This window comes from Homo sapiens, chromosome 20, assembly GCF_000001405.40.
Source record: "Homo sapiens chromosome 20, GRCh38.p14 Primary Assembly".
Taxonomy (NCBI): Eukaryota; Metazoa; Chordata; class Mammalia; order Primates; family Hominidae; genus Homo; species Homo sapiens.
The window spans coordinates 10,899,255-10,916,210 of NC_000020.11; the positions used below are offsets into that span (position 1 = coordinate 10,899,255).

General features: G+C 37.9%; 1 long non-coding RNA gene across 1 annotated transcript in view; it reads right to left on the reverse strand.

Moving 5' to 3' along the window:
• LOC101929413 (uncharacterized) overlaps window positions 1-10,018 on the reverse strand; it is a 33,940-nt gene extending 23,922 nt beyond the window's left edge. The window contains exon 1 of the long non-coding RNA NR_109866.1: window positions 9,712-10,018. This is a non-coding gene — a long non-coding RNA (uncharacterized LOC101929413). The remainder of the gene's footprint in view (window positions 1-9,711) is intronic.
• Between the last annotated feature and the right edge of the window lie 6,938 nt (window positions 10,019-16,956).

Genomic DNA, 16,956 nt, shown 5'->3' on the forward strand with positions numbered 1-16,956 from the left:
AGTGTTTTCTTCCTCTCTCTCACCTTCAAAATTAAATTCGTAATGCCCTCTTCATGTGCTTCACATATATTTCTGTAAAATCATTAAATTCAAGGGCCTGAAAATAAACAATCTTTAACTGGCATCTTAAGATGCTCAATACAAAATGTAAATACAGCCATTTGAATTTTTTCAAACGTCTTTTTGGGAAGGAAAAACTAACATATTTGATATCAAGTTTACAAGAACTACTATTTCTCTTTTTTCTTTCTTCCTTTCTTTCTTTCTTTCTTTCTTTCTTTCTTTCTTTCTTTCTTTCTTTCTTTCTTTCTTTCTTTCTTTTCTTTCTTTCTTTTTCTTTCTTTCTTTTTTGAGACGGAGTTTCACACTTGTTGCCCAGGCTGGAGTGCAGTGGCGATCTCGGCTCACTGCAACCTCCGCCTCTTGGGTTCAAGGGATTCTCCTGCCTCAGCCTCCTGAATAGTTGGGATTACAGGCGCTCACCACCACACCTGGCTAATTTTTGTATTTTTAGTAGAGACAGGGTTTGAGCATGTTGGGCAGGCTGGACTCAAACACCTGACCTTAGGTGATCTGCCAGCCTCGGCCTCCCAAAGTGCTGGGATTACAGCGCCCAGCCTATTTCTGACTTAAAATATTATTTTTGCTTTTTTCCTTGGTAGAATAGTCTGACCAGTTTATGCCTATTATAATTTTTGAAGAATATTTAAGGAATAAGGCACTAAAGTGAATAATATGAGGTTGATGATGATTAAGCTTAGAGAAGATGTCTGCTCCTGCTGCTAAGATGCTTGCTGTATCTGAAGATCTGGAAGTAATAATGGCTTTGTCATATTAAATTAGATATCCCTGTTCTTAGGGACAAAGTGCACACAATAGAAACCTGATATAGCCTTACTTGCCCTTGCCCTTGTACCTGTCCTTTGTCTGTTACCTTGTCCTCAATGCTGGAAATCTAAAGAGGAGAGTACACTTTAGTGGAAAGACTATTTGAAGATATCATTTGGGTTTATGATGAGTTTATTGGATAAGTTAGGGTCACATAGTAAAAATCTTACTTTCACCCAGAAGCTGGCATTTATGGAGCAAGTTGCTAAAAAGTTCTTTAATTGGCTGAGGAATTAATGTATTTGCTACTAAGATCTATGGGAAATATTTTTCCAAGTGTACATAGAATGATGTAAACTTTAAATATTTGCATTGATTATTTCTATTGCAGACGAAAAAATAGCAGCAACAGCAGCAGTGACAGGAGCAACAGTAGGACGGTGACCATAAAATTCATTTGCACAAACTGGGATATTTTTGAAAATGAAAGCAGGTGCTACATGACGAAGGGCAGGGCAGCCAGTTTAAACCAGAACATTTGATAACCATAAGAGTAGTAATAGTAGAAGTGTAGTGATAATGCATAATTCCATAATCCAATTGGTCCAGTCCAATAAGGATATAGTCACACACACACACACATGCACACGCACACACACACGCATATGCATACGTGTGCACACACACACATACACACTCCAGTGTCTAAAAGATATGCCGTTATTTACAACAGCCAAGACATGGAATCCACCTAAGTGTCCATCAACAGATGAATGGATAAAGAAAATATGATATTTAAAATAATATTCCATTGTGTGTATATATAGTGCTCAGTCTTTTAAAAAGGAGATTTGTCATTTGTCACAACATGGATGAACCTGGAGGACATTATGCTAAGGTAAATAAATCAGGCACAGAAAGACAAATGCTTTATAATCTCACTTATATAATCGTCCCTCGGTATCCATGGAAGATTGGTTCCAGAATTTCCTGCAGATACCAAAATCCATGGATGCTCAAGTCCCTTATATAAAGATGGTGTAGTATTTGCATATAACCTATACATCCTCTTGTATAACTTAAGTAATCCCTAGATTTATTATAATACTTAATAGAATGTAAATGTTACATAAGTAGTTGTTTTACTGTATTGTTCAGGGAATAATACAAGATAAAAAAGTCTGAACATAGTCAGTACAGATACAACCATCTTTTTTTCCAAATATTTTCAATCTGTGGTTGGTTGAATCCATGGATGGGGAACTCAGGGGTACAGAGGACTGACTGTATATGTAATAGAAAACAGTTGAAGTCATAGAAGCAGAGAGTCGAATGGTGGTTTCCAGTGGGGATAAGATGGAGGGGAATCGAGAGTTGTTGATTGAAAGGTACAAAATTTGAATTGTGCAGAATGAATGAGTTTTGGGGCTCTAATGTACAGCATGGTGACTATGGTAAACAATGGAACATTGTGTACTTGAAATTTACTAAGAGAGTAGATCTTGACTGTTCCCACCACACACACAAACAAAGGTAACTATGTGAAGTGATGGATGTGTTAATTAGCTTGCTTGTGGTAATCATTTCACAATGCATACATATATCAAAACATCATGTCATACATTGTACATATATATAATTTTTATTTGTCAACTGAACCTCAATAAAGCTGAAAAAAACAAAAAATTGGAAATAATACAGTTCTTTACTTACATTTCTTGAATTCCATGAAGAATAAAAAAAAATACTATGAGAACATAACTACAAATCTCCTTTTTCCTTTCAACCAACTTCAACAAATTTCCTCACATACCAGACCAGATCCTTTCTCCTCAGGACCTCTTAAAGTTCCTAAATCTGCCTTGGCCTGTACGCTTCTTTTTGGTTTTTTTTCCTCTGCTTTGTTTATGTTTATTCTGCAATACATAAGCCCCAAAGATCTAGTCTGGTTAGTCCAGACCCTTCTGGGGAAACCAGAGGAGAAGAAGAAACTAAGCTGGCAAAGTGTAATCCTCTTAGCTGGCAGGTAGTGGGCAAATCTGCTACTAGTCATCTATTAATAGCCTTGGTCCCATGCCAGTAGCTTATATCAATAGAGAATCTTCTATATGCCTGGTGCTGTGATAAAATTAAAATCCTCCCCTAAATCAATTACCATTGAAATGGATGCTCTTGATAGCTCCGTTTTGCAGGGGAGAAGGCTGAGGCTTGCTTGCTAAGGTAGGAGAGTTGCTCCAGGGATGGAGCCAGGACATAAACTTGGCAGTCTGTTAAGGAGCTGATGCTCTTAGATAGCATGTTCACAGCAAAACTTTGACCTGTTGTTAGTGGGATTGCTTAATGATAATAAAAACCCTTACTCTAAATGCTCTATAATAAAACATGCCCAGCTTTAAGTACATGGTAATCCTAGCAAATGTTCTTTCTGACTTTGAAAATCATTCTGGTGTGAATGGGGTATCTAGAAGAGATCTTTCTGATAAAAGAGTTTAATATGAAAATAAATGCATATGAATTCAGGTTCTTTGGAATACTTACACAAAAGTGAACAGAACACACAGTGAGAATGGGCTATTTTTCCTTCAGTTGGAAGGGGCTGTCATTGGCTGAGTTTAGCTGCTTTTGCCAGAAAGACATCAACCATTTTTAATGTTCTGACTATTTTTTATGACTGCCTGAAGGATATCAGATGAGCTATCTGTTGTAAATCAATAATAATTTGCTCTAGAGTAATGAGGAACTAAAACTGTTTCTAATAAATCTCCAAATACTTAGCATACTTTAAAAACCAATTGTTTCATGAGAATTAGATTTCTTCTCTGTCCTTAAGAAAGAGCTGAGGGTGGAGGGAGGCAGAAACACTAGCCAAACATTTTGGAACAGAGAAATGTGAAAACAGTGAATGAAGGCATATGAATTCCAAGGCTTTGTTTTGTAATCTCAGCTGTTCAGAGGCACGCTCTGTGGTGCAAATTGGTACAACTTACAGCAAGTCAGATGCCACTGTGCAGTTTCTTTAGAAAAGCTCATTGGCTACAAACTGATCATAGCCTTCAGTATCAACTAAGTAACTAGAATATATTGAAAATAGCTGAATTCTAGTTAAATCATAGCCTCTGCCTCCTGGCAGTGCTCTGTAATGACTGGGTAACTGGAGCATGTCTTGGAATGTGGAGGGATGGGTCCCACTGTCTGTCTAGTCTTTTTTTTTGGTATTTAGAATGCATCATGGGAAAAGAAAAATGTAAGCTCAATCCATCCATTAATTTGATACTGTTATAAGTATATTTTTCCTGGGGACTTTCTTATGAAATTGGAAGGGGAAAAGAAATCCACTGGGGAGGGGAGAAAGAGAGAAATATTTTTTTCCCTAACTGTGTCTGCATGATTCTGAGGATATGCCAAAATCTTAAGAGTAATCTAGTGGTTAATAAACTGCTGTAGTTGCTATTCATCAGACAAAGGAAAGCAAATGATTGCTTGTAGAATCCCTGCCCCCAAATCTCAGGCTTATTTTGTGGAAGGAATGAAAATAGTAAAGAATACTGTGGCGGGACAATGGTGTCCTCTGAGCCGGGTTTCCTGTCTCTAACAGAGCTTTCCCTTTAGCGAGTTTCAGTGAATGTAAGAATTTCAGTTTCTGGGTATTCTAATGCAAAAAGCTTAATTTCAATAATACAATTCTGTATAATAAAATCAGCTAAGAGTCTGTGGGAAAGATCTGACCCTATTTTTGCTCTTACTTCATCCTTGGGTTTATATTACTAGACCATATTTCTCTGATAGCTTGATGTGGTCATGTGCCTGAGGTCTGTGCAATGCAAGGTGTGCAAAAGTGATGGGTGGTACTTCCAGGACTGGCTTATAAAGCCCTCTCATGTGCCATCTCCTTTCCCATCTGACTGAATGATGAGGGTCCCTAAGACCTAAGAGAGGACAGACTCACAATCGGAAGGTGCCCAAGACCCTGGATGATCACATGGAAGCCTACCCCACCAGAAAAGTCCATTACTGGCCAGTGACAGGCATGGTAATTAAAGCATTATCATGTCAAGTCCCTGAGATTTAGGGATTGCTTTTCATAGCAGCTAGCCTTACTTTATTAATACTGGATTGGTTTATGTCATGACTAGGGTGATGGCCTTGTTTGATGATAATGATCCTGTTCTCTATGTGAGGTTGTCTAGATTCTGGTCCTGGCCTCTGCCTGTTAGTTTTTCAGCAGCAAAATGTAGAGTTTGCACCAAAGCCTTTAAGATTAGTTAGAGTTTAGAGGTTTTTTTGGTTGACAGAAACTCTGACAAACTTAAGCCAAAGGAATTTGTCATGAGGACACAGGTGGCTCATGGTATGAAAAATGCTGTTAGAGAACCAGGCTCAGAGAGGGCAAGAATTAGGGAAGATCCAGGAATCCAGGAAGCAAGAGGTACTTAAAAATCTTGTCGCGGGCTGCCTCTGAGATTTATCATAAGTATTTTCTATTCTTGCCTTTTGGTTAAATTTTGCTATGTAAAAAAACTTTGTGGCTTAATACCACTACCTTTTAATAGCTCATGGTTTTGTAGGTCGAAAATTTGGGCTGGACTTAGCTGAAGTTTTCTACAGATCTGGGCCAGATCAAGCCAGGTTCACTCATGCATCTGCCATCCCCTGCCAGGTCAGTGAAGGCTGGTCCATCTAAGACGGCCCAAATGGATGGTTTGTTTTTGCTCCATGTGGTCTCTCAACTTCCATCAGGTGAGCAAGGACTTGTTCACACAGCAAGTGAGCAGGGATCCAAGAGGGGTGTAGAAGTGTGCAAGGTCTCATGAGGCCCATGCTCAGAACCTTCACAATGTCACTTCTGCTATATTCTATTGGCGAAAGCAAGTTACAAGGCCAGCCCAGATTTAAAGAGTGGGAACCCCACCTCTTGATGAGAGGAGCTGCCAGATTCATGTTGCAAAGTGGAATAGATGTGGGGCAGTGGTGGAGAAGAATGGTGGCCATTTTTGCAATTCATTAAACCTTGCTTGGATCATAGGTTTACTCCTTGAGTAGGGGCGGGCTGGCCAATTTCATACTCCTCCTAAGAGTGAGCTGAATGTGGGAGAAGTTAGTTCCCATAAGGAAATTAGAATGAAGCGCGAGATGTTCTGAGTAAGGTAGGTAGATCTGATTTTGAAACCCACCATCATTATCTAGATGTGAGACCTGAGCAAAACACAGAAACTCTTAGGACTACTTTGTCATCTGCATGACGGGTTAAGTAATATTTACTGACAAAGTCGTGATAATTAGAGATTATAAAAGGAAGGGACATGTACCATGTTTATATATAAGTGGCATCCACTAACTTCTCAAGTTTTCACCTCGAATTGACACAAGGAAATGAAGGGAGATGTGTCTATTCTAAACAGTTTTTCCTTTTGGTTCTTTTGAAAATAAGGCATGATAACTTTGACACTAAGGCTCAACCTACTTTTGCTTTCACAGCATTTAGAAGTGTTATTCACTAAGATCTGTCTTTACCATTCTCAGGAATTGGGTTTGCTCCAGGGCTGTTTCAGTGGCCACATTGTATCCATAAGCTTTATCCTTCCTTATTGGTTATGTGGCAGGGCTGTCATTCTGATTGACTGGAGCCCATGCTGCAATGATTGTTAAATATTGTGAATATCCCCACGACTGTATCTAAGAAACACCCCACAACCTTAACAAATTTTGTTTTCTTCTTCTGGGAAGTACTGTGGCTTTGTGGAACCTGAGGTAGCATTTGTTTCTGAAAGTGTTTGACAAATGTGTGTTGAATGAACATTTGAGAGTGAATGAATAGGTAAATGAATGATTTGGTGTAATGTCTTAGTTTCCTGGTGACAGTTTAAAAAAAAAAAAAGAAATGTCTTGATTAAGTGCAGACAATAATCTATCTTGGAAAGCTGCTAGAAGAGATATTTCAGGGATAGAATTGCAGATGTAAACTATAACAAAACTGCCTGTTTGCTTTATTTCTCTTTCTTCAGCCTGTTTATCTTTTCAGTCTCAACTAGCTCTTGAAATAAATAATACTGGGGTTTGCCATCTGGGGTGGAAAGCTGAATTTTATTAATTTGTTCTAAAACTAGCTGTTTTGAGCTTTGGGGATTACATGCAGGGAGTGTATCTCCTTGTCTTTAAAATTAAGATTTGGTGTACAGGTCAATGGTAGCTTTGCCAGTGGAATCCCAAAGTGCATTAGGAATATAGGTGGGGATTAAAGCAGCATAACTGAGATCCTATGCTCAGGACCACCATGGCCCCCACCCACACCCCTGCCATCACACCCAGCACCCCCTTGCTTTTTGAGTGTTAAAAATGATTTTTTCGCCCTCTCTGCTGTATTTTTCCACACTAGAGGGCTCTGGGTAATTTTAGCCAGTTTGTCCAGTTTGTGCTGTGTCCTCCGCTATCCACTTGGAATCTAAAAGATCACAGGAAGAGGACAGAGAATGACTAGCAAAGCCCTCGTGAAGCAACTGAGTTTTCATCAGGACATAGCAGATGCTGTGTGCAAAAAAGATCCCATTTGGAATGCCTGGATGATAGATACACTTTTTGATTTTCATGCAGAAACCTCTAAGGCATTAATTGGGAAGGGGTACAAAGGTAGAGTGACCATATCAACTGTATGTACTAGTTTGTCTGGGACATTCAGCTCTACATCTTTTGTCCTGTTATCTATCCAGGTTAGCATTTGTCCAAGATATTTCCCCTTAAGTGAAAAATTATTATCAGTATTTGTGTTAAAATAACCTGGGATAGACTTGGAAGACCTCTGCATTGTGCTTTCACTTCTTCCATGACCTTGCCTAAAAGTGAGTGAGACGCACATGAAATAAACAGAGTTTTCATTTCAACAAGTGGTCAAATCTGAAAAGAAACAGAGATGATCCATTTTTCTCTTCCTAACTCTTTCCAGATGCATCAAAATCAACATATCCCTTTCAAGGGAAGCATGCATTGTGTAGTCAGGCAGAAGTAGCTACTGTTGGGTAACTTTTTCTGGATATAGTGGTGGGAGAAGAGCTCAAGGCTCTGTCCCTATTGGACATTCAGTTTCCAACCAGTTATGCCATGGTTCTCCTGAGGCTGACTGTATGATGCTCGCAAGGCATGCTTCAAAGAGATTAGTTAAGGTGGCTCCATTAATGGGTTGAATGGTTTTTTTTCTCACCTAGTTCATGGAATTTAAGTAAAGGTTTTAGAAGTTCACTCTGACAAAGAAAAACTATATTTTTGTAAATGAGCTTCTTGCTCAAAATCAGTTGGGAATATTTAAATCAAAGTATTCAATGGACTAAGTGTCAAGAAGTCAGCAGTTGAAACTCTTAGGGACCTGCAATTGTTGACAACAAAGCTTGCAGGCAGGAAGATATTCAAATTTATTTCTACACAATATACATATTAAACAGTGAAAGCTCAAATGGCGTGTACAATTTCCATTTGAAAGTCTATAATTATGCTATGGAAAAACTCACCTTGTGGTAAGAAACTATTGATAGACCTCCTGTTTTTAACAGAATAAAGTTGCATTGCATATACTGAAATAAAATAAAATTGAGAAGGTCTGTGATTCTGTTACATTTATGTTTAGCGAAACATTCAAAAGTATCATAAAGTTTTTTTTGATAAGTTTTGCTTGTAAAATATTTGCCTAATACAAGCACTCTGAGGACAGGCAAAAAGTCAGTACATATACAGTACATATTTTAGGGCTGAAACAACATTTTTATATTTTAGTAAAGAATAATAGCATTGCTATGGATTGAGTTGTGTGTTCCCCAGATTTATATTTTGAAGCTCTACCCCACAGTGTCACTGTATTTAGAGATAGAACTTTTCGGAGGTAATAAAAGTTAAATGAGGTCATAAGAGTGGAGCTCTGACCCAAAGGAAGGGAGCTTTCTCTTCCTCTCTCCCTTTGGACACAGCAAGAAGTGGCTGTCTATAAACCAGAAAGAGAGCCTTCATGAGAAACTGAATCCACTAGCACCTTGATCTTGGACTTCTCAGTCTCTAGAATTATAAGAAATAATACCCAATCTGTGGTGTTTTGTTATATAAGCTTGAACTGACTTGTACAATATTCATTTAGCAAAACTTACTGTGAGCTTGGTAGGTATCACAGCCAATGTCAAGGGATATTTTTTCTTTAAAACAATAGAGAAATTCACATACTTTAATCATGCGATTTTGAAAAGATCTCAGGTATTTTATAAAAATAAGAAAAATAATAAGATAATATTGAAGACATATTACCAGGTTGGTAGGTATCACAGCCAATGTCAAGGGATATTTTTTCTTTAAAACAATAGAGAAATTCACATACTTTAATCATGTGATTTTGAAAAGATCTCAGGCATTTTATAAAAATAAGAAAAATAATAATATTGAAGACATATTAAAATACCAGTAATATGGTATGAGTCCCATGTGGCTAAAAAAACCCCAATTAATATATATAAATATATACCAAGAAAAACTGTTTTGCTTACGTTATTTTTAATGTTCATATAATAAACATTGTATTTAAAATAATTTTAATATATATGGATATATTCTATGTTGATTAAAAAATATTATTTTTCAAAAATAGTTTTGACTAGAACTATTTTATAGTTCCACCAACAAATTAAAATCAATAATTAATTTTTAAAATTTCAAAATATCATTTAGATTTATTACCACTCTTAACCACTTTGTTTCTCTCTTAAAATTGTTCTAGGTTGGACCATATATTATGGGAGCACCTTTTGCAAGGATGAAATACTCCGTCTGGGTAAGGCATTTTCATTGAAGCTTGTAGCTGTTTGTTTAGTTATTTAAATCAGGTTGATGGATGTAAAGTGAGCTCCTTCTACTCACCTGAAGCAGAAACAGTGCTAGGTGATACTCAAATCTCTGGGCACCCAAGAAGACTCCAAATCTCAGCATCTCTTGAAATAGGTGGCAATGTGTAACAGCATTCTAGCCAATGTAACATATTTTACGTCCAGGACTGGCCCCTAAAACATTTTGCATGATCCTTCAACATTCTTTTTTCCTTTCCTACTAGATGGATGGGAATAATTCAGCTGGGGATTTGGAGGCCCTAAAGGGCAGTGTAGCCAATGGACAGGTGATCCCAGGTACCTGCATGAGTGGAGGCAGGCCCTTCCTGCAGACCTGCACTGAACTATAACGTGGGCAGTAAGTAACTATACTTTGTGTTAAGCCACTATGATGTGGGGCTGTTTGTTACAACTGCAAAGATTGCTGTCCTTGATTAATGCACCATGCAATGTTCTCCCAGGCTTAGTTTCTCTGCTTGATTGCTCTCTTCATGTTCAACTCTTATATGAGTTGGTGACACTTTGGTTGAAACATTTCCAAGGACTGAAGAATATGTTTATTATCAAACCAACTGATTATGAAAATAATCTGTATTTTTAAGGTATGTGAAGGAGTAGGTATACATTTGTGCTTTGGGCCAATTTTATATCTTTAAAATAAAAATACATTAAATAAGCAGGTAATATTAATAATTAATAATACCATATAATGATCTGTAAAGCATATATTGATATGTAAAACACTGTGCTAAGTACACATATATAAGCACAACTCTTATAGCAATGCTTTGAGGTAAATGCTTTATTAACTCCATTTTACAGATGAGGACACTGAGGCTTAAAGAGCTTAAATAACTTACTAAAAGTTACATATGTGGAAATAGTGGAATGGAGCTTGGAGTCAAAGCATACTAGGCTCTAAAACTTGGGCTCTCAATCACTTTATTAACCATAATAGAGACATTAATTCTCAGTCCTTAGACCTCTTAAGTCTCACCATGATTCATGATGATAATTATCAGTGATGATTGACATTTCTGTATACTCACTCACTACTGCTCTGTGCTCTGTGCTGTATGTGAGATAGCTTATTAAAAGTCTTCACAATCATCATATGAGACAGGCATATTACTGTCTGTTATATGTATACCTAGTGTATCTAGTAGTTACAGTAAGCACTCCATAAATATAAATCAATCTTCAGCTTACAGAAGAGAAAGCTGCAATTTAGAGACTAAATTACTGACTATAGCACCTGTGGGAATGTTCTTTTAAAAAAAGTGACTTGGGTGTCATGAGTCTTTCCATTTCAGTTTTTACAGATTGCATCCCTTCTCTTCTAAAGAAAAAAAATTAAAAAGGGGGAAAGTAGTGTGACTTCTCTAGGTTAAAGCGACCCCTAAGTTAAAGAGGAATGAAGAAATTTACATTTCATAAGCTGAGAGTTCCCATTGAGAGTTCCGTCTCTCCACTTCCCACCTCCAACACATATACACACACACCTTTGTATTACTTTAATACTTTTGTGAATCAACAGAGAACCCAATTTTGCTAAAATCAAGGTGGCACAATTTAGCTTCCTGAGACTGGTCGTAGTCAGCCTTCACATTAACTTTGAGCAGGGAGGGAAAAAGCAGCAGACACGAGGACTGAGAGGCTCTAGCTACATAGTCTGGCTCAGGCTTCTCTACCGTGAAAAATGATGGGAAAAAGAAAAAGAAAAAGAAGCAGAAAAACAAAACCCGAGACAGAAGGTAGGAGGAGACACTGGGGCAGCTCCAGCTTTCAGCAAGCCGGCTCTGTTCCACTTCCTTTTGATTGTCCAGGAAAGCTAAGAAAAGTAAAAACAAGGCTGTGACTCCGTGGAAGCAGCCCTGTGGAAACGTTATGTTAAACAATTGGCCTGTGGGTCAATTGTGAAGGGCGTTAATGTGCGAGACCCCGATAAAGAGATTTGCACGAATGGCCACAAAGCATTTCATATTTAAATATGGATCCAAGTTTCTTCTGCACAACAGTATAAATATAACTAAGGTGGGGTGGAGAAGGAGATTTGGAAATCAGCCGATTTGAAGGAAGCCAACACAAACACTCCAACAAATGCAGCATTTCGCACAGCCTTTGTGCTCATTGCTTGTTGTTGGCATGAACTCATAAAAACAGAAAAAGGCCATGAAGGGTAGTGGTTGAGATATTGCATGCCCTGGTGGTAATGAAATACACTGTTTATCTGAAAACAACCTTCATGTCAGTGTGCTTTGCATTTCCTGAAGGTGATAGTCTATTTTATTTTGTTTCTTGATGGTAGTAAAAGTCTAGAAAAACGTACAATTTTTCAGAAGGGCCTTAATTTATTTTCTGTGGTTATCTCATTGTGAGATAAGTAAGAAGAGCGTAAGTCCCCAATCTTGAAAACTTTTTTTAAACTAGTTGTTTAATATAAGAATATATTTTAGCCTCTTTAGCAAATTCATACTGCACGAAAGGATATTCTATAATAGACTAAGCAGGCCATATAAAATTAGTAAAGTTGGATGTGGTGCCTGAAAATATTTGGCAGAATTCCCTGGAAAGCCACATGTGAACATTTTTAATATATATTATGAGGCAGAAAAGAATAATTATCTTCAATTGAAGTTCCCAGTGAAAGAAATGTATTTGTACAGTCCTTTCAAAGAAAACCCTCAGTATTGACAAATTGTGTTTGGGATGGTGGCTTCTCTGCTGTGGCTTGTGGCTTGCTTCTCATAGAAAAAGCAGACATTACTCTGCTATTTCATGTGACTTCTACCTTGAGCAAGGTGTTTTTGCCAAGGGCTTTGGAACATTGGCTGAGAAATCTCCAGAACAAATACTTTTGAACCCTATGGGTGTGATACTGTGGAGAGGGCAGGGCATCAAAACTACCTTGAGTGACTATTTCTCAACTTTATTTCTAACCTGGGCTCTTGGTTTGGGATAAATTGCACATCTCCTTTCTTTACTTCCTTCTCTGGAGAGGGTCACTTTTCACTCAGGGCACCCATATGTGTCTAAAACATTGCATTTTTGAGGCCAGCCTGTGTTTTAGTGTGGGTTGCCACAAACACAGATCCTGATAATAATTTGGTGTAAGAAGATTATTTGGGAGTGGATCCCAGGAAGCATATTGAAGGAGTGGGAAAAGTGAGAGAGCAAATAGAGAAAGCCAATAAGGGGTTGCAAAGAAACGATTGACTCCTTAAGGCTCAGTCCTGGTGGACCCCTCTGGGCCACTGTGCAAAACACAACTGAAAATTATCCATTGTGGGATAGAGCAGCTCAGGCACTTAGCCACCAACTCTGGTCCCTTTTGTGTAGAGGGCTGCTCCTGAGTTGTTAACCTTCTAGCTGAGACTTTTCAGCCTGCCTTAGGTTGATAGAGCATCCTCCCATAACCTAAGACGAGCCTTGGACAGACTGAGACAGAGAGAAATGGTCAATCTGAACAGGAACTCCTTGCAGGCTCTCTTGGCCACGTGAATTTTGGTAGGAACCTGGGAGCATCAGATATAACCACCATCTCTGACCGTTAAGGCAGCCTCCTGGCCAAGGCCAAAGCCCTTATTTTTGATAAGCGCCCAATATTTTTTCACTTTTTTCCTTTCCTTCATGTAACTCTTCCCAGTGTTTTGGAATAACTAGGTAACTATAGCCTTTAATTTCCTTAATTTCTAAGAGAAGTAATAATTATAGAATTTATCATTTATTGAGTGCTCACCCTATGTCAAATGCATTGACTTATTTAATTCTTACAACAACCCTATGATATAGGCATTCTTATCCAGGTTTTGCCAACAAGAAAACAGGCTCAGAGAGGTTACATTTCCCAAAGGACAGGGTCAGGATTTGAACCCAGGTTCATCTCAATTCAAAGTCCAAGATTTAACTATGAAAACTCAACATTGCCACCACCAAATTGGGATAAGCTGTATTTCCAGCTATATACAGGATATTCTGGGTGGGTATAATGACTGATATGGTAGCCAGCCTCCAAGATGGTCTTTCCTGGTCCTAATCTCCTGATACTCTAACCATTGTACAATCCTCTCTTACAGTACAGGGCTGGCCTGAGTGATCAATAGAATACTGTAGACGCAACAACATGTGGCTTCTGAGGAAGCATTGTAGCCTCTTGGTTTGTTCATGCTGTGGAAGCCAGCTGCCATGTCAAGAGGATGCTCAAGCAGCCATGTGGAAAGGCCCGTATGGTAAGGATCTAAGGACTCCTGCCGGCCCCAGCACTAACCTGCCAACAATGCAGCAAGTTACCTGGAAGTAAATTCTCTAGCTCCCAGCCAAATCTTTAGATGACTGTATTTCCAGGTAACATCTACAAAACATTGCTGAGAGAAATTAAGAAAGATCTGAACAAATGGTAATATATACCACGTTTATGGTTTTGGAAGACTCAATAATGTAAAATATCTATTAAATATCCCCCAAATTGTTCTAATTTAATCAGAATACCAGCAGGCTCTTCACTAGAAATTTAAAAACTAAGATTTGGATGGAAAAGCAAAAGACCTAGAATAGCCAAAAGAATCTTGACAAGGAACAAAATTGCAGGACTTTCCCTATTGATTTGAAAATTTATTCTGAAGTTACAATAAGTGACATTGTAGTATTGTTGTAAAGGCAGGCATGCCAATCAATTGAATGGAATAGAGAGTCTAGAAATGGGCCCATGTGTATACAGTCAATTGATTTTTGACAAAGTGACTACATAATTTAGGGGAAAAAGAATAGATTTTACAACAAATCCTTCTGGAACAACTGAATATCTTCATAGAAAAAAATGGACATTAAACCTCATCTCATGACACATATAACAACTAACTCAAATTGGATTCTAGACCTAAACATAAAAGCTAAAAATGTAAAACTAAACATATAAGCTAAAAATATAAAACTTCTGCAAGGAGCTATAGGAGAAAGTCTTCACAACATTGGGATGGGCAAAGATTTCTTAGACATAACTCAAAAGCACTAATTTTAAAAGAAAAAAATGATTACTGTATGTGATCAAAACTAAAACCTCTGCTTTTCAAAATATGTTATTAAGAAAATGCCTCATAATTCTCTTAAGAGAAAATATTTGCAATAATATGTCTGATGAAGAACTTTTATCAAAATATATAAATAACCCTTAAATTCAATAATAAAATGACAGACAACCCAATACAAAAATAGACACTTCAAAAAAGAGATTATAGGAGTGGTTAATGGTATGGACTAAATATCTATGTCCTTCAAAAATTTATATGTTGAAGCCCTAACCCTCAGTGTGACTGTATTTGGAGATGGAGCTCTTAGGAGGTAATTAGGATTAGGCAAGGTCATGAGGGTAGGGCCTTGGTTTGATGGGACAAACCCTTATAACAGGAGGCACTAGAGAACGCTTCTCTCTCCTCTGTCTCTCTCTCTCTCTCTGTCTTTCTCTACTATGTGAAGACACAGCAAGAGAGTGGCCAACTGCAAGCCAGGAAGAAACCTTCAGCAGATCCCAACCATGCTAGTACCCTGATCCAGACATTCAGCCTTCAGAACTGTAAAAAGTAGAATAAAATTCTGTTGTTTAAGCCATCCAGCCTATGGTATTTTGTTATGGCAGCCCAAGCTGAGTGATTTAGCCAGTAAGCCCATGAAAAGATGGTCAATGTTGTTAGTCATGAAGGAAACGCAAATTAAAAACATAATGAGGTATCAATATATATACATACATCAGAACAGTAAATTTTTAAAAATTGAAAATACCAAGTTTCAACATGGATCTGGAGCAACTGGATATCTCATATATTGTTGATATGAGTGTAAAATTGTGCAGCTCTTTAGGAAAACAGTTTAAGAGTTTATTATAAATTTAAATTATCCATTTAACCCATGATCCAGCAATTCTTCTCTTGGATATTTCCCCAAGATAAATTAAAACTTAAGTTCACAGAAAAGATTTGTATACCCACAGTGGAATACTATTCAGTCATAAAATGAATGAAATCATGTCTTTTGCAGCAACATGAATGGAACTGGAGGCCATTATCTTAAGTGAAACAAGTCAGACAAAGACAAATATCCCATCTTCTCACTCATAAGTGGGAGCTAAAAAATGTGTACACGCGGACATAGAGTGGAATGATAGACAATGGAGACTTGGAAGGGTGAGGGGGTGGTAGGGGATTGGATGACGAGAAATTACTTAGTAGGTGTAATGTATGCTCTCTGGGCGATGAATACTCTAAACGCCCTGACTTGACCACTATGTAATCTGTGTATGTAAAAAAATGCCGGGCCGGGCGTGGTGGCTCACATCTGTAATTCCAGCACTTTGGGAAGCCGAGGCGGGTGCGTCACGAGGTCAAGAGATGGAGACCATCCTGGCCAACATGGTGAAACCCCATCTGTAATAAAAATAAAAAAAAATTTAGCTGGGCATGGTGGCACGCGCCTGTAGCCCCAACTACTCGGGAGGCTGAGGCAGGAGAATTGTTTGAACCTCGGAGGCAGAGGTTGCAGTAAGCTGAGATTGAGCCACTGCACCCTCCAGCCTGGGCAACAGAGTGAGACTCCATCTCAAAAAAAAAAAAAAAAAAAAAAAGAAAGAAAGAAAAAGAAAAGAAAGAAAAAAAATGCCCTTGTATTCCATAAATTTATACAAACCAAACAATTTGTTTACATTTATGGTGGCTTTATTTGTAATAGTCAAGCACTGAAAACAAACTAAAATAATGGATACAGAAATTTCCTCTGGATGAGGGAATACAACTCAGAAATCAAAAAAAGGAACTTCTGATACGTGCAGTAATACAGATGGATCAGTCAGGCATTATACGAGGGAAGGAAACCATACAGAAAATAGTATGTGCTGCACACTCCATTTAATTGAAATTCCAGTATATGCAAAATTAATCTACAGTGATGGAAGTCAGATCTGTTTTTTCCTGGAGCCAAGAGCCGGCTGACCACAAAGGAAAATGAGATAACTTTCTGGAATGATGGAAATATTTTGTATCTTGATTGAGGTAGGCTGTTACACAGGTGTGCATATTTATCAAAAATGCAAAATGTGCATTTTATTATATGTAATTTGCACTCCAGTTAGGTGTATGAAAAACCAACAATGAGAATGATTGGATCATGGATGTTTGTTATAGTATCCCAGTATTTTTCTGTATTTTTAAAAGAATAATTTTTCCTTAAAAGGTGCCTGCCTGGAGTTTACTGACAGGTTTATCTCTTACCCTCATATTTCACCCTCCTTTTT